Raw genomic sequence first — 17,087 nt, 5'->3', positions numbered from 1 at the left:
CGCTTTTCTTCTTAGCCCATATTTTTGCATCTGATTGTTAAGTTTTTTTTTTCCCCACTGAGTCTCATTATGCCTTCTTGCAGTGCCTGCCCCCTGGTTTTGGTTTTGCCTTCTGAACTTCAGATGATGTCTGGTGCCTACTTACAATAACTGTTCCTTCATATATTTGAGGATAGGAGGCTCACCGACCGTAGACTTTCTCCTCTAGCATCCTGGGAACATCAAACCTATGGGACAGCTGTTTCAACAAGACCAGCGCAGTGTCCCTGTTTCACAGCGGAACTAAGTGGATGCCAGCAGAGCCTGGGGGCCACTTGCCTGGAGGTGGCAGAGCTAGTCCCTCGCTCCTACCAGAGTTTCACAGCCTCCTCCTTGGAGGAGTGATGTCTCCTCATTCATTCCACTCTCTGAATCATCTGCAAGTCCCACCCCCATCACTTTCAGTCCCTTCATTCCAAAGGGAATGTTGTGTCATTTCCCCCTCTCTCTACACTCAGACTGTCTGGTCCAAACTCCTCATTTTCATGTGGGGACTGTGAGGCTCAGGAAAGGTCACTGATATTTTCAATGCCACATAGCCTAGAAGGCAGTTCTCCAGACTCCTCCCTCAGTGCTCGCTCAGCCAGAGCCAGAACTCAGTAGGGCTGAGGGGCAGGAATGTCCTGGGGCATCCCCTGTGGCTGCTTAGAGAGGCCTAAGCAAGGGCAGAGATGGACCTGAAGCCCTGTCCCTGCCCTCCAGGCCCCAGGGGGGAAATATTTTGTAAACTCAGATTTCTTGGGGCTGGGCTGCCAGGGCAGGCAAAACTGGGGCCCCTGGGAGAAGCTGTTCTGGAAGGCTGCACATGCCACCCATGGGGTCACTGGGCTGCCAGGGCTCTCTTCTGGGAGACTCTGCTGCCCCAACTGTGCTTTGGGAAGAAGGCCTATATCCCTAGGGTTTGGGAAAAGGGCTGGATATGGGGCATGGGGAGGGAAGTTTGCTGGGTAAGTGGCAATGGGAAGCTTTGCCTGACTTTGTGGGGTGGGAGAGACAGGCTTGTGGGTTGCCAGAGTCGGACCAGGAGAGCTGGCTTTAGGGTTTCCTTTCTGCCTCCCCCAGACAGCCCTTAAACTGAACCCCAGGTCCTCTCTCTGCACCTCCCCCACCCCCAGGCCTGGACTGCTGCAGTTGACACTGACCAGGGCCCCCACCCTGGAATGTTTGTGGCAGAAATCTAAGGGAAGTCCCCCAAGTCCAGGCCCGAGACGGAAACCAGGGGAAGTGAGATAGATGAACAGAGGAGACTTACCTGCCCCTTCTTGTGGGATGGGGGTCAGAGAGTGAGGCCCAGAGCTGCCCCACCCTCACCCCAGCCCCAGCCAAAGCTCCTAGAACCTAGCTCTCTGGAATATCAGAACCCAGGAGGTGGCTGGCTGGATCTACCCCTCAGAGGCCTCCCTGACCACCAGGGGGCACTGCTGGGCTCCAGCTCCCCACCCTCCGCAGTCCCCACTTCTAGCCTGGGCTTTTGTCTCTGCTCCCCCATCCCTGACGTCTCTGTCTGCTTCTCTCTTTGAATTTCTAACCAACTTCAGAAAGGTTGAAAATACAGTGCAAAGAACATTTGTCCCCTCCAGAACTCTGAGAGTAAGTTGCTGACATGATGCCCCACCACCGTTAAATACTTTCCTGATTTTTCTACAAGGACTCTCTTACCTGACCAGCCCCGCTATCAAAATCAGGAAATTGACATGGATACTTTAATACCATTCAGTCTAGACCCAGGGAAGTCCCGCCAGTGGTCCCAGTGATGTCCTTGTGGGCATCAACAGAATCTGGTTCAGAAGCCGCCGTTACTTTCGGTTGCCAAGTCTTTTTGCTGCCTTCAGTCTGGAAAGCTCCTCAGCCTTTCCTTGATTTTCATGACCTTGTCACTTTCGGAGATTCCAAGACGTTTAATGTGTAGGTTGTCCCTTAGTTTGGGTTGGCCTGATGTTTCCTCATGATTAGGTTCAGGTTGAGGCTTTCTGGCAGGGATACCGCAGAAGCGGCGTCTGTTCTCAGTGCACCCCTGCTCCCAGCTTGGCTTCATCATCCCATTACCGTTGCAGTGATGTTAACTTTGATCACTTGATTAAAGTGGAGGAAGCCAGGAAAAGTTACTTTCTTCTTCTTTGTAATTTCTAAGTATAATGTGGGGAGGTGCTTGGAGATGACGTAAGTATCTTGTGCCTTATCAAATTTTGTTTATTCAGTTACAGTCATGAGTCACTTAACAATGGGGATACCTTCTGAGAAATGTGTTGTTGGGGGATTTTGTCATTGTGCAAGCACTATAGAGAGTACTTATATATACCCAGACGGTACAGCCTACTGCACACCTATGCTACTGTATGGTATAGCCTATAGCTCCCGGGCTAAAATCCCGCACAGCATGTCACTGTACTGAACGCTGTAGGCTGGGAACTGTAACAGGTGGTAAGTATTTGTATATCTAAACATATCTAAATGTAGAAAAGGGACACTAAAAATACAGTATCATAAGTTTATGGGACCACTGTCATTATGTGGCGATGACTGCATTTCTGATCGTCAGCAAAGACGCATTTAAGCCATTCCTATCATCATGTATTTTGATGCTCTGATCTTCCTGGATTTGGCCTTTGGGAGCTCCTGTGTCCTTCTGTCTCTCTTTCATTCTCTGACCCCCTTGTTAGTTTCTGCGTGTCTCTGTCTCATCTCTCTCATTCTCTCTGTCTGCCTTTATCTTGGTCTTTCTTTCTTCTCTGTCTGTCTGTTGCTCCTCTCTCTCTGTCCTGTCTGCTTCCCGCACCCCTCTCTCTCCCCTGTCCTTTTCTCTTTCTCTCTGTCCCCCTCTCTTTCTATGCCTTTGCCTCTTTGCCTCTCTGGCTTTCTGCCTCTGACTCGGTCTCATTTTGTCTGTTTTTCTCTCTGTCTTTCTATGGCTTAGTCTCTGTCACTCAGGACTCACCTCTGCAGTGTCTTCAGATAGGAGTCCTAGACACGCTGGCTTGTGTGTGGGATACCATCACTCTCCCTCCTCTGGACTCACAGTCCTCCTCTCCAGCCTCTATTTCAGACCCAGGGGGCTCTGGAGCAGGTGCAAGGAGGGGAACAGGAATGAGTGGATTTTCCTCCCACCTGCTCTGCACACTGCAAGGCTGGGATCATGTCTCTGTGTGTGCGCCCACGTGTGTGGAGGGGTGTCAGAGAGGTCTGTGCCTGGGAGAGGGGAGAGAGGGAGCTGCTGGTGTCTGTGTCTTGCCCCCTCCTGCTACAGCTGGGAAGGGAATCAGGTTAGACCCCAGGGTGAGTGCCTGGGGCAGGGGATGCTTTCTGTGGGGAGTCCTCTGAATAGGCCCCCCTGCCCCGCAGTGGGGCCCAAAAGGTGGGCAGTGTCTGTGCAGGGCTTTGCATCTTAGAGCATGTTCCCATATGTGATTTCAAAGGACAGACTATCAGAGCTCCAGGGGTGTGGTGCCATCCAGAGAGAGAAACTGAGGCCTGTGGTAGTGGTGGAGTGGTGACTGACCCAGGGCTTTATGGTAAGTCAGGCTCAGAGGAAGGCTTGGGCCACCAGCCTGCCTCTCATGCATGAGGTGGTGTCATTTAGAAAAGGATAGTCACATCTCTGTGTTTTCATAATGCAAAGAATTGAAAATAAAAATAAAGATGGAAGAAGCCTTCCGGGCTGGGGCAGGGGATGGTGGAGAGGGTGGAATGGGGAGAGAATGAGGGGAAATGGCACTGTGGGGCCATGGGTTAGAGAAGCGAAGGCCCATCAGCAGTACAGTGGACAAATAAACCTGCTGCATCTACACAATGGGACGGCGCACGGCAGAGACAAAGGAGAAGCTGTGTTGGATGCAGCCACCCAAAGGGACCTCAGATTCATGGTGTGTGAAGGAAGCCAAACGCAAGACTATGCACTGGATAATTCCATCTTGAGGAGGTTTAAAAATCTGGCACCATGACTCTTTGGTGATGGAAGCCACAATAGTATTAACCTTGGGGCGAGGGGACACTGACTGGGAGGAGCCATGAGGGAGTCTTCGGGGATGTGGCTCTGTGGGGTGTATGTGTGGAACGTATCGAGTGACACATTTAAAATGAGTGCAGTCTGCTGTGTGTGAGCCATGCCTTCATAATAAATGAAAAAAAGCCAAGGTAGGAGCCATGCGGGGGCTGCAGGTCCCTGGAGCTGGACTCTCCAGCTGCCGTCTGGACTCAGGCCATGGGCCCCACCTGAGTCTGGGATGAACATCCTGTCACCCCACACCTTTCTCTGTCCCTGGGCCCTCCTCCCTCCTCTGGACCCTGAGGGGCTCTTGCCATCCTTTTCCCTGTCCCTGCCTACCTCTCCCCCAGGCTCCTCTACTCCTTCCCCAGGACCCCAGCCTTCTACCCAGGGCTGACTCTGTGCCTCTCCTCCCACAGCCAGAGGATCTGGAGGCCCCCAAGACACACCGCTTCAAGGTGAAGACCTTCAAGAAGGTGAAGCCCTGTGGGATCTGCCGCCAGGTCATCACCCAGGAAGGCTGCACCTGCAAAGGTGAGCAGCGGTCTGGGCTGTGGGGGATGGGAGCACCCATCAGGGGAATGAGATGGCTGGGCCTGGGCCAGGCTGGGACTCTGCTGTGCACACATCCTTGGGGTCCCAACCTGACGCCTTGTTCTCATCTGGTGGAGGATGCTGAGCTCACTGGATGACAAGCATGTGGGTGGGTGTGGTGGGCATGGCAGGTGGAGGGTAGCATGGAAATGGCATGCAGCTTGTATGAGGATGAATGGCATGAAGAAGGTATATGGGTGTCATGCGGGTGGCATGAAGAAGGTATATGAGTGGCATGTGAGTGGCATGTGGAAGATGCATGATTAGTATGTGGTGGCATGTGGAGGTTTTGTTGAGGGTGTGTGGATGGCATGTGGCTGGTGTGTGGATGATGCATGTTGACGATGTGTGGCTGGTGTGTGGATGATGTGTGTTGAGGGTATGTGGCTGGCATGTGGATGGCGTGTGGATGATGTGTTTGAAGGGTGTGTGGCTGGTGTGTGGTGGCATGTGGAGGTTGTGGTCAGGGTGTGTGGCTGGTGTGTGGCCTATGTGTGGATGGTGTGTGGATGATGTGTGTTGAGGGTGTGTGGCTGGTGTGTGGTGGCATGTGGAGGTCGTGGTCAGGGTGTGTTGCTGGTGTGTGGATGGTATGTGGCTGGTGTGTGGATGATGTATGCTGAGGGAGTGTGGCTGGTGTATAGATGGTGTGTGGATGATGCGTGCTGAGGGTGTGTGGATGGTGTGTGGATGATGTGTGCTGAGGATGTGTGGATGGTGTGTGGATGATGTGTTTTGAGGGTCTGTGGCTGGTGTGTGGATGGCGTGTGGATGATGTGTGTTGAGGGTCCGTGGCTGGTGTGTGGATGGCGTGTGGATGATGTGTGCTGAGGGTGTGTGACTGGTGTGTGGATGATGTGTGCTGAGGGTGTGTGGCTGGTGTGTGGATAATGTGTGCTGAGGGTGTGTGGCTGGTGTGTGGATGGCGTGAGGATGATGTGTGCTGAGGGTGTGTGGTTGGTGTGTGGATAGCATGTGGTCTGTATGTAGAAGCTGTGTGGAGGGTTTGTGGCAGGTGCATTGAGGTCACATGGCTGATGTGTTTTGAGGCATGTGGATGGGATGTGGTTGGTGTGTGGGAGTCGTGTGGGTGGCATGTGCTTGGCACTGGGAGTTCTGCAAAGAAAGGACGCCCCAGCCCTCTCCTGTGGCAGCTCAGAGGCAACTTTAAGAGGCCCCGAGTCAGACTCAGCGGAGGACCTGTTGTCTGCCAGGCTTTTCAATCGCTATTTTCATGAGCTCCTGGAATGGCCCGGGGCTTGGCTGTCATTATTGCCTGAAAAGTTGGTGTCTTGTCCCAGATCACACAGTGAAATCAGCAGGAGCTCCCTGCACCCAATATCAGTGGCTGACACCTTCACTCACCCCGTTGCCCCATCTGATGCTTCCCTCTCCTTCACCCCCACGTCCCACCAATTGCAGGGCCTCCCAAGGACAGCTGGAGTCCCCAAGCTTCTTGGCATCATCCCCTCCCAATTCCACTGTCATCATTTCTCATGTGGGTGACTGACTCACCTTTGCCTTCTCCTGTCTCCTGACCTATTCTCTGTGACCCACCGTCCACACCAGCTTCCAGTGGGACTTAAAAACATAAGCCCAATTATGTCAGCTCCTGGCTTAAAGCCTTTGGGGGTCCCTCACAATCCCCAAGACAGAGTACAGACCTCTTTCCCCGGCTGCCAGGCCTGGTGGGCTCAGCCTTTGCCCAGCTCTCTGCCGCATGTTCCTCTGCTCCTGACTCCATGTTCAAACCACTGGCACCTCACATGACTCCTCACTATGTTGGGCATGTCAAATATGCCAAGCAGGCCATGCCCTTTTTGCCCGGAGCCTTTGCTCATGAGTCTTTCTCTCCCTGGCTTCTCTCTCTTGCCCCTCCCTCCATGTCAAAGTCCCAGCAGGCTGGGAGGCTGGGCCTCAGAGCCCACTGAACAATTTCTAAAGCGCTTACTGCATACCAAGCACTCAAAGGCATGACCTCATCTGATGGTCACACCCCCCAAAAGGTGCTTGTGTCATCCCCGTTTTACAGAGGAGGAAACTGAGGTTGGCAGTGGTCACGTCGCTTGTCAAGGCACCCAGGAGTGGGGCCCGAGTGGGGATTTCAGGACGTGGGCTCTCAGGGGGAGGGAAAGTGGCTAACCAGGACTTTTGCAATACCAAAATCAGCCACGCGGTGTCACCCTCCTCCCAAGAGGTCTGGCTGGGGCTTGCGGGCAGTTTAGGGTTGGAGCCAGGGGAGAAGTCACAGAAGAATTGCTAGAGGTGAAGTTTTGCATTTTGTTTGCATAACAGCCCCACACCCTGCCCTGCGAAGATGCATAAATTAGCCCCTGGCCCTTCCCCACGGTTCCTTCCTTCCCTAGTGTCTTCCCGTCACTCCAGGGACTCCCAATATGGTGATACGAGGCAGTCTGGGGGTGGGGGCAGAAGGAAGTCCTGCCAACATTCACTGTGTGACCTTGGGCATTTCTCTGGCTGCAGTCTCCGGTGGCCCTCACATTCCATGGCTCTAGGTTCCCCAGCTGACCTGGCCTGAGGGCTTGGGTTGAGGAGAGGATTTGACCCCATGTGAACAGAAGGCTCCCAGGGTGAGCAAGACATGGCCCTGGTTTCACCTAGATCTCAGCCTGGCCCTGCTGGTGTGAACCGGAGGGGAGGGTGAGTGGACAGACTGGTTTGGCAGCTCTGGCTGGGCTCTGGAGGGTGGGGAGTTTGGTGGGAAGAAAGCCAGGGCTACACTGTAGCAGGACCAGCAGGTGTCAGGACTGGGACATGGAAGGTGCAGGGGCCAGGCCCAGATAGGGAGAAGGGAGGAAGACTCCTGACTCTATAGGTCATGTGTGCAGCCTCAGCAAAGGGACTGGGATCTCCAGGCCTGGGAGGAGGCTGGGGCTACTGGGTTCACTGGTGGGAGATGCAGGAGTGAAGCCACTGTCTGTGCTTTGGAGTCAGGAGCTCATGATGGCATGAGGTTGATAGTTCCCCTCATCCATCCATTCACCCACCCAACCAGGGCCACCCGATATGGTTGTATGGGTTTTTCCCTGGCTGAGGGGGCATGTGTGGACCAAACTCCAGCTCATGTCTGTTCACTGAGCCTGACTCAGTGGGTTTACTCTGCTCCCAGCCTTCAAGTCTTGGCTACAACATGGCAACTCTCTTGATGAGTGGCTCTGGGTGATAGGTGGGGTGGGGCGCATGGAATGTCAAGGCCCTGGATTCCCAGTCTCCATGGGACTTGCAACATTGAAGAAAGTTCTGCTGGAGGCAGGGGGCAGTGAGGAAGCTCTTTTAGATCTGGAGACACTGGGGCGTTTGGCCTGTCTCCCCTTGGTTGCCTGGACCTATAGCTTGGGCCGCCCTTCCGTTTTCCTCCCTCTTGCATTTCCCATTTGATGTAATATGGCCAAAAGAGGTGGGAAAGAGAGGAAAGGAACCTGGGGTCTGGTCCTGGTTTTGGAAGACTCAAAGATGAATAAGGCAGATAGGAAACTAAGAGGGTGGACATGCGGGCGTCATAGATGTACAGGCAAAGGGGTTCCTCCGGACCTGTGAACTCCTGTGAACTCCTGCATATGAACCCTGTCCTGGGTCTCTGGGGGGCTGCTGTGAGGAGCATTGAGGTTCTGTGTGCCTGTAAGATGGGTCCTCATGCTAGGGATGAAGGCTCTGTGTGAAAGATGCAGAGACAGATGAGACAATGGCAGGAGAACAGGTGCAGGGGCGTTGTTAGTGGCCCAGGCTCTACTTCTGGCCCTGCTTCTCACAACCTCTGTGATCTTGGATAAATCAATTAATAACTCAGGCCTCAGTTTCCTCATCTATGATTAACAGGGCTGGACCAAGAATACTTGCTGAGGCCCTGACAGTGGGGAGGGCCTGGAAAACTCCCTGGTTGGAGTCTGCAGAGGTAGGATAGCTTCCCCCACGCAGGCTGCTGCTCACCTCCTCCGCGCTGCGTGCAGCCATCTGGCAATCATGAACTGAGCTGTCCTCTGGGTCAGATGCTGTGCCAGGTCCTGGTGCTGAGAGCCAGCCCCTTACCTGGGAAGACAGACACAGTCAGACAATCATGGAGCACGGTACCAAAGCTGACACAGGTACGTGCGTGCGTGCGTGTGTGTGTGTGTGTGTGTGTGTGTGTGTGTATGTGGAGGGCCGTTTCTGACTCAGTAGAGATGTTCTTGTCAGGCTTCAGCAGGGAAGGCATGTGCAGGTTGGGTCTTGAGGGATGTGTAGGAGTTCCTCAGTCCAAATAGTCGGCTTCCCACAGGTCTCTAGGGAAGTGCTCTATGGGAGTCCATGTGCACAGGAGGCCCCAGAGGGAGGCTATGTGGACTCAGAGCTTTGCTCAAGGGCTCTACCTCCCACCAGGCCGAAACCCACAGGAAGATACCAGGATGGCAGCTCAGCAGCCCGAGGGCTGCCATCAGGGCCTGATCTGGGGCCCAGACTTGGATAAAACTTCACTTCTCAATGCCTCTGGTGAGCCTGGAATGGGGGACAGTCACCTGCAGTTTCCTTAGGGCAGGATGCACCTGGAAAGACGATCCGTCCTTTAACAGGACAAGCCTGTGCAGAAGCCGGCACCCACTGGATTTGGGGAAACCTTGTTTCTAGGAACTCTTTCCCCCTGTTACTTCACTGGGGAACCTAGCTTCTGCCCTGTGTCTGAGGGCCTCCTTGGAGCCACCAGAGGTAGCCTGGTAGGGTGGGAAGACCCTGGGTTTCTAGCCCTAGCTTGCTATTAATACAACCTGGCTGTGTGACCCCAGGTGAGATGCTTAACCTCTCTGGGTCTGGCTTTCCCTTTTCCCTAAATGAGGAGGTGGGATTATTTAATGAGATTAGAGGCTCTAAACTGTGTTCTGAAGGAGCTGTAAGGTTTTTGGAGGAGCTTTAGGGGCCAAAGAGGGTAAGAAAGAGATGAATCCAAGGGAATCTTAAGGGGTCAGGGCTCTGGGACCCCTGCCCACCTCAGTCAGAGGAGCTGTGGTTTTAGGAGTTAAATCCATCAGGAGGCAGGATCCTGTGGTGATCCCGTCCTTGACTTAGATGTTCTGATTCAAATCCCCACTCTGACCCTTACTAGTAAGAACTTGGGCTGATTGCTTCCCCCTCTAAGCCTCAGTTTCCTTAATTTTAAGATGGGACAAAAGCCGGGCACAGTGGCTCCCGTCTGTAATCCCAGCACTTCGGGAGGCTGAGGTGGGCGGATCATCTGAGGTTGGGAATTTGAGACCAGCCTGACCAACATGGAGAAACCCCATCTCTACTAAAAAAGAATACCAAATTACCCGGGCATGGTGGTGCGTGCCTGTAATCCCAGCTACTTGGGAGGCTGAGGCAGGAGAATTGCTTGAACCTGGGAGGCGGAGGTTGTGGTGAGCCGAGATTGCGCCATTGCACTCCAGCCTGGGCAACAAGAGTGAAACTCCATCTCAAAAAAAATAAAATAAAATAAATAAATAAAAAATAAATGGGACAAACAGCAGTACCTCCCTCATCAGGTACTGTGGGATTAAATGAGATTATATATATATATGCTGGGCTCCAAACAGAGCCTGATATATAGCAAGCATTCAGTGAATCTTAACCAGCATCATTGTGATTCCACACAGGAGCCCATCTGCTTGAGGAATTTAGCTGTAAAAATAAAAGTTTGAACACTACTGGATGGGATGATCTAGAACAGGGTGTCCAATCTTTTGGCTTCCCTGTGGCACCTTGGGAAAAGAAGAATTGTCTTGGGTCACACATAAAGTACACTAACACTAACCATAGCTGATGAGCTAAAAAAAAAAAAAAAAATCTCATAATGGTGCCAGGTGTGGTGGCTCACTCCTGTAATCCCAGCAGTTTGGGAGGCCGAGGTAGGCAGATCATGAGGTCAGGAGTTTGAGACCAGCCTTGCCAACATGGTGAAACCCGTTCTCTACTTAGAGATACAAAAAACTTAGCCGGGTATGGTGGCGAGCACCTGTAATTCCAGCTACTCGGGAGGCTGAGGCAGGAGAATTTCTTGAACCCGGGAGGTGGAGGTTGCAGTGAGCCGAGAACATGCCAATGCACTCCAGCCTGGGTGACAGAGCAAGACTCTGTCTTGGGGGGAAAAAAAAAAAAAAAAAGAGGCTGAGGTGGGAGGACCACTTGAGCCCAGGAGTTCGATACCAGCCTGGGCAACATAGCAGGACCCCATCTTTACACAAAATAAAAAAATAAAATAGCTGGGTGTGGTGGTGCACACCTGTAGTCCCAGATACTCCAGAGGCTGAGGTGGGAGGATCACTTGAGCCTGGGGAGGTCGAGGCTGCAGTGAGCTATGAGCACACGACTGCACTCCAGCTTGAGTGACAGATGGAGACCCTGTCTCAGAAAGAAAGACTAAAAATAAGAAAGAAAGAGTTGGGTGCATATAAGAAACCATCTTATGTGCCCCCCTGCCTTGCAAAAAAAAAAACTCATAATATTTTAAGAAATTTACGAATTTGTGTTGGGCCGCATTCAAAGCCATCCTGAGCCACATGTGGCCTGCAGCCTGCAGGTTGGACAAGCTTGATCTGGAAGGTTTCTTCCTGTTCTTACTTCAGAGCCACACCATGTCCCCCGACCATCCCCTGAGACACCTTGTATCAGTCAAGGTTCTCTGCAGAAACAGAACCAACAGGATGTGTGTAGAAAAAAAGAGATTTATTTAAGGAATTGTCTCACGTGATTGTAGAGCTGTGGCAGGTTCAAAATCTGCAGGGTAGGTTGGCAGGTGGGGTACCCCTGCCTGTTGTAGCTCGAGTCCAGAGCCGTGTGCTGGCAGAATTCCTTCTTGCTTGGGGAGGTTGGTTTTCTTTATTAAGGCCTTCAACTGATTGGATGAGGCCCACCTAAATTATGGAGGGTCATGTGCTTTATTCATAGTTTACTGATTTAAATGTGAATCTCATCTAAAAAATAAAACCAACCGACTTTCTCAGAAACATCCAGAATAGTGTTTCACCGAATATCTAGGTACCGTGGCCTAGACAAGTTGATTCATTAAATTAACCACTGCATACCTCCAGCCCAGGTCCTGGAGATGAACTGGCAGGGCAGGGTGAGTGGCCGGTGAGCAGGCAGGTGGCCAGGCCTGTGCCTCTGTGCCGGCCATGGAAGGAGCTGAAGCCGGACCGGGCATGCGAGTGGTTATCGCCGGGGTCAGGTGCACACTGAGGCTATGTGCTCATTTTCCGACCCAAGTCCAGGAGGAAAAGGCCATTTAGATCCCAACAATGTTGGCTTCCTGTGTTCCCGAGAGGCAGGAAGCAACCCCAGGACAGAGTACCGGCAGCCCAGCTGGGGTGGGAGCTGGGGCCAAGGGCTGGGGGTGCAGTTCTTCACCCCAGCAGAGTAATCTAAGGGTCCCTTCCCACTAAGGGGCTCTCTGCTCCCTCTCAGGCCACCACTGGGCCCTGCTGTGCAGGGGCAGTGCTGACATCGTGGGCAGAGATAGGGCTCCTGGGGCTCCATGGAGCTCCGGTTGGACAGGGTCACTGGCTCAGGAGGGTGCATACGTGGGTTTGTAATTTCGGGGCCTTCTGTAGTAGCTGGGAGGCCATGATCTGCTCAGGTAGGGCCCATCCTGACATGTGTATCTGGGGGAGGACTCAGGAGAAGAGAAGGCTGGGGTTTTCCTGCTCTTGTTTCTCCCTGCATGTCCCCATCCTTCTGATGAGAAATGGTACCTATGGAGTGAGCATCCCTGTCACTCACAGACTGGTCCCTTGTCACTCACAGACTGGTCCCTGTCACTCACAGACTGGCTGTCTCCCCAGCAGTGTCTGATGTTCCCAGGGTTGGAACCTGGGTTTTTCCCCTTTCTCAGTTGAAGGGAGGAAGGGGTGGGTGGCATTGGTGGTGGGGGGTGTCTTAGTCGGGCTGTTACAGAATACCTTAGCCTCTTAAGAGTTACTTTCTGGGACACAATGACTAATTACTTGGTAGGGTAAGGGAAGTGAGGAAGGAGTTAAAGCGAGAGTTTGCAGGCACCAAGCAGCAAGGTAGGACCCAGGAGATGGCCTCTGGCCTTGGTTCCCAGCATCTGCTACCTTTGGCTTTTGCATTCTGATGGGTCTTGTGTTCTGGTATCAGTGATCTAGTACTGCATAAAAAATTACCCGTAAACTTAGTGGTTTAAAATAAATACAGGCTGGGTCCATGGTTCACTCCTGTAATCCTAGCACTTTTGGAAACCCAGGCAGGAGGATTGCTTGAGCTCAGGAGTTCGAGACCAGCCTGGGCAAATGGCAAAACCCTCTCTCTACAAAAAATGCAAGAATTAGCAGGGCATGGTGGCACATGCTTGTAGTCCCAGCTGCTTGGGAGGCTGAAGTGGGAGGATCGCTTGAGCCTGGTAGATGGAGATTGCAGTGAACTGAGATTGTGCCACTGCACTCCAGCCTGGGTGACAGAGCAGAGCAAGACCATGTCTAAAAAAAAAAAAAAAAAGAAAAGAAGAAAAGAAAAAAAATCAAAATTAGTATTCCACATGGTTTCCATGGCTCAGGAATTCATGAGTGACTTGGCTGGGTGGTTCTGGCTCAGAGTGTCTTATAAAGGTGCAGTGAAGATGTCACTGGGGCCGTATTCATCTGAAAGCCTGACTGGGGCTGGAGGATCCAGTTCCCACATGGCTCAGGTAATGCTGTCAAGCTGGGGCTGGCTATTGGCAGGAGGCCTCAGCCCCTCACCACATGGCCCTCTCCATAGGGCTGCTTGAGTGTTTTCACGACATGGTCACTGGCTTCCCCCAGAGCAAGTGATCCAAGAGACCAAGGCTGAAGTCAAAGTGTCTTTTATGGTTTAGCCTCAGAAGTCACACACTGTCATTTCTACAATATCTGACTGATTACATAAATCAGCCCTATTTAGTGTGGGAGGGGACTCCAGAAGGGCATGATGAGTAGCAGAGGCAAGAAATATTGGCAGCTACCTGCAAGGCTGGTTGCCACAGTTTCCCATTCTGTAACACATCTGAATATTTCATCGATCTGAAAGTGAGAGGCCAGCAGATTGACAGGCCCAAACTTGAGATTACAGCAAGACGGATGCACGTTAGAGAGGAGGACATACTGCCCCTTGGGAGGATATGTGAGACAGGTGGATAGGCACGCAAAGAGGGCTTCCCTGGAGGAAACTCAGCAAGCGGGCCTCCTTGGGGTTGGAGGCGGTTGCTTCTGCAGGTGTCAATATCCATTCATGGGGGCTTGGCCAAGCCTGTCCTGCTTGGCATCTGCCACTTGCTTTCAGTTTGCTAAGCTTTTGTCTTCTGGGCTGGGAGCTGGGGTGGGAGTGGTCTTCCCTCGTTCCCCTCTGTAGAGCTGCCAAGGACAAGCTTTCTGCATTCCAGTGTACAGGAAGCACTCAGCATAGCGTATTGCAATTACCTGATGATTTCTCCATTTGCCCCCCCACTTGAGGGCATTTGCTGAGTGTGTGCCCACTGTGTGACAGGCAGGGCTGCCCTGTACAGTCAGGCAGGCCATGCACTGCCAAGGGTGCCTACCCGAGAGAGCACAGGAGTCAGCCCACCCTTTGCCTACCAAGCCATGCATTTTGGCACAGGGCTGATCTGCCTGGAGAAAGGGCACCTTCTCACCATTTCCACAAAGACACTGTGCATGAGCCCAGCTGTGTGTCCCTGGGGCTGGTCTGCCCAGGGGATGGGCCTCCTTCTAGTTTGCACAAAGATGCTGTATGGTCTCATGGGCCTGAAGCAGACACTGTCCTAGCTGCTGGGGCTACAGTGCAAAGGAGACAGGCATGCTCCTTGCCCTCTGAGTGTAGTGTGGGGAGATAGATTAGAGAGAAGTTACCCAGGGCAACTTCAGAAAATAACCAGGAAATAACCGGTGTGCTGAAAAGGAATAATTGGAAAGCTACTCTAATTTGAGTGGTCAGGGGAGGCCTCTTTGAGGAGATGACTTTGGGTGGATTCCCAAAGGATAAGAGGGATTTGGTCCAGGGAACGATGGGGTGCTGGGGTGAGGGGGAGTGTACCAGGCAGCTGACACAGCAAGTGCCAAGGCCCTGAGGCACTCTGGGAACTGGCAGAGCAGGGAGCATGCTGGAGGGAGGTGGAGTCCCGGCCCCCATTGTGTCCCTCATGTCTAGACTGGGGTGGATGCTTAGAGATGCCTTTTTGGTTGAACATGAGATGTTGAGGTGGCGGTCTACAGCTCAGGAACGATCTGAGAGTCGGGGGGACATGACTAAATTGGGGTGCGCATAAACCACAGGGGATATCTTCAGACAGGTCCAACTCAGCAAACGTTTATTAAGCCTCTCCTGTGTACCAGGCTCCTCTCTCTCTCTCTCTCTCTCTCTCTCTCTCTCTCTCTCTGTGTGTGTGTAGGAGAGAGAGAGAGGCAGGTCCCCCTGGAAGGAGCCCACACTGTTGGACCAACAAAGGGGACGTTTCCTCTATTTGGATGGGGTGGGGCAAGGGAGGCTGCTGGTGTCCAAGAGGGAACACCTTTGCGAAGTGAGGGAGTTGCTACCCGGGCTGGTGGTGGTGCTGAGGGAGAGGGAGAAGCAGAAAGACCAGAGTGATGGGTAACGCTTGTGTGGCTGAGTGGGGAGTATGTCCTGCTGTGGCCAGGGTGGAGATGTCCCTGAGCTAGGCTGGGTGGCTGGTGGGGTCAGGAAAACCTTGCTCAGCACCGGTGAGTCACAGGCCTGGGCTGGGCCAGGACTAGGTTCTGAGAGAAGAAGATCCCATGTTAGGGCCAGTGGCCAAGGTCCCTTTCCAGGCACCACCCAGTGTGCTTCCCAGCTTCTCCCCCTTCCCCATGCCCAGCCCCTTCTGCCTCAGACAAATCAGAAGAAGCCTTAGTGTGGGGAACCCCGGAGCCTCCCTGGGCTGCTCCGGGCATTCATCTGTGCCTCAACCTCCCTTTCTGCAGTCTGCTGAGAATCAGGTTGGTTCAAAGCTGGAAGGGGGTGGGGTGCAATAGATCCAGGAGAAGGAGGTGGATGGCTGTGGTCCTGGGCTGTGGCTGTTGAGGATTTGGAGTCAGGGCACTCCCCTATCTCCCCCTCCCCAGTTCTCTAACCAGAGTTCCTAACCCCCCAGCCTTAGCAGGTCCTGGGCAGCCAACAAGACCCAAAGCAGTGCAAAACCCAACTCGGGAGACCCCTCGCCCACCCATGAGATCTGCAGGGAGGTCACCAAATCCCTTGGTGGAGTCCCAGAGCCCTGGGGGGTGGGGCGGCAGGGCTGGGGACATTCCAGGCTTCGGGAACCTTATAGGAAATTTGATTCCAGCTTCTGGTAATGGGAGGAAGAGCAAGTCCTGTGTGTGTGTGTGTGTGTGTGTGTCTGTGTGTTTCAAGTCATGCACATGAAGTTTATGTGAGCATCTGTTCACGTGTCTGTGTCCACAAATCTGTGTCAGGCTGCAACTGATGGTGTCCCACAAAATTGTGTGTGTTGGTGCCCTGAGTCAGGGCTCTTCCTGGATGAATCTGTGTGTGTGAGACTGTGTGTGTGTGCGTGGATGGCTGTGTGGATGGGTGGGAGTGGTTCTGGGTGAGTGTGTGGGTGTGGGTGTAATGTGTATATGCGTGGGCCCGCTCCTGGACTCTGAATTGTGTCTGTGTGTCTGTCTCTGGGGCAGAGTAAGTGTGATTGTGGTTTGCGATGTCGTCTGCCTGCCTGGTGTGTGTGTAAGGGGAGAAGGCCCCCCTTATTCCTTGGTGGGGCTGGCGTGGGGCCCGGGTCCGGGCTACCTCTGCCCCTGGCAGGGGTCCAGTGGGGGACCCCCCCCTTTGCTCCCCCCACCTTCCCGCACCCGGAGGGGCTCTGGCTCTGGGAGCCCCCTGCCTCCCCGGCCGCGGGTCCTCAGTCCCGGGCACTCCCGCCCCGCAGGCCCGGCAGCCGCTCCCCTCCGTCCCCTCCCTCTCTCCCTCTCTCCTTCCCTCCGTCCCTCCTTCCCTCCTTCCTTCCCGAGCGCGGATTGCGGGCTGGGGTGGGAGGAGATTTCGCGGAGTTTCCATTTCATACCTCGCGGCTAAAACTTTCTTTCTGTGTCTCGCCCTCTTGCAGTCTGCAGCTTCTCCTGTCATCGGAAATGCCAGGCCAAGGTAAGGGGCCGCGGGCTGGCGGGCCCGGGAGGACTTGGGACAGGCCTGGCTCGGGGTCCCAGATTGGAGCGGGGGCGCCGGCGGGGCGGGGGCGGTGCCCGGGGCGTCCCTCCTCCTCTCTTTGTTTATGCAAAGCGCCTGGGCCTGGGAGCGGGCGCAGGTCAAGGTGAAGGCGAAGGCCCGGGGGCGGGGGCAGGGGCGGGCTGGGGAATCGGGGGATCTGGGTGGGGGGCGCGGAGCGCAATCTGGGCGGTTACCGGGGGTGGCTGATGGGGACCGAGCTCCCAGAGAGCGGCCTTTGAAGGTGTTTCTGCTAGTTCTCAAGGGGGAGAGGGAAAGGGGGAGGGGATCCATT

At 53.7% G+C, this 17,087-nt stretch overlaps 1 protein-coding gene and 1 long non-coding RNA gene across 15 annotated transcripts in view, besides 3 other annotated features; one reads left to right on the top strand and one right to left on the bottom strand.

Moving 5' to 3' along the window:
• TNS1 (tensin 1) overlaps positions 1-17,087 on the top strand; it is a 234,192-nt gene that overhangs the window by 38,486 nt on the left and 178,619 nt on the right. For 10 of the 14 annotated variants that reach the window (XM_047445637.1, NM_001438865.1, XM_047445639.1 and 7 more), the window contains 2 exons: positions 4,441-4,555; positions 16,695-16,732. In XM_047445637.1, the coding sequence (XP_047301593.1) occupies positions 4,441-4,555; positions 16,695-16,732 (153 nt within the window). Of the gene's footprint in view, positions 1-2,359; positions 3,900-4,440; positions 4,556-8,622; positions 8,719-15,459; positions 15,568-16,694; positions 16,733-17,087 lie in introns of those variants that run through there. The other 4 variants (XM_047445641.1, XM_024453078.2, XM_047445636.1 and 1 more) reach the window with 3 other exon arrangements.
• Positions 384-883: an enhancer, noted in NCBI's record as "H3K4me1 hESC enhancer chr2:218859337-218859836 (GRCh37/hg19 assembly coordinates)". NCBI's record gives its function as "activates a minimal SCP1, AML or CMV promoter by ChIP-STARR-seq in primed H9 embryonic stem cells {active_cell/tissue: H9 hESC(primed)}" and the evidence as "EXISTENCE:reporter gene assay evidence [ECO:0000049][PMID:30033119]".
• Positions 1,494-1,543: an enhancer, noted in NCBI's record as "active region_17111". NCBI's record gives its function as "activates an Ori minimal core promoter by ATAC-STARR-seq in GM12878 lymphoblastoid cells {active_cell/tissue: GM12878}" and the evidence as "EXISTENCE:reporter gene assay evidence [ECO:0000049][PMID:35858748]".
• On the bottom strand, positions 2,882-16,790 carry TNS1-AS1 (TNS1 antisense RNA 1). Its single transcript, NR_135524.1, has 4 exons — positions 16,653-16,790; positions 9,916-10,033; positions 8,564-8,662; positions 2,882-3,094 (listed from the first exon to the last, which is right to left on the bottom strand). It is a non-coding gene; the product is annotated as a TNS1 antisense RNA 1 (long non-coding RNA).
• Positions 15,906-16,794: an enhancer, noted in NCBI's record as "H3K4me1 hESC enhancer chr2:218843426-218844314 (GRCh37/hg19 assembly coordinates)". NCBI's record gives its function as "activates a minimal SCP1, AML or CMV promoter by ChIP-STARR-seq in naive and primed H9 embryonic stem cells {active_cell/tissue: H9 hESC(naive and primed)}" and the evidence as "EXISTENCE:reporter gene assay evidence [ECO:0000049][PMID:30033119]".

Source organism: Homo sapiens, chromosome 2 (genome assembly GCF_000001405.40).
Source record: "Homo sapiens chromosome 2, GRCh38.p14 Primary Assembly".
NCBI lineage: Eukaryota > Metazoa > Chordata > Mammalia > Primates > Hominidae > Homo > Homo sapiens.
The sequence above is the reverse complement of the archived record's forward strand: the minus strand, read 5'-3'. Positions and strand labels throughout refer to the sequence as shown.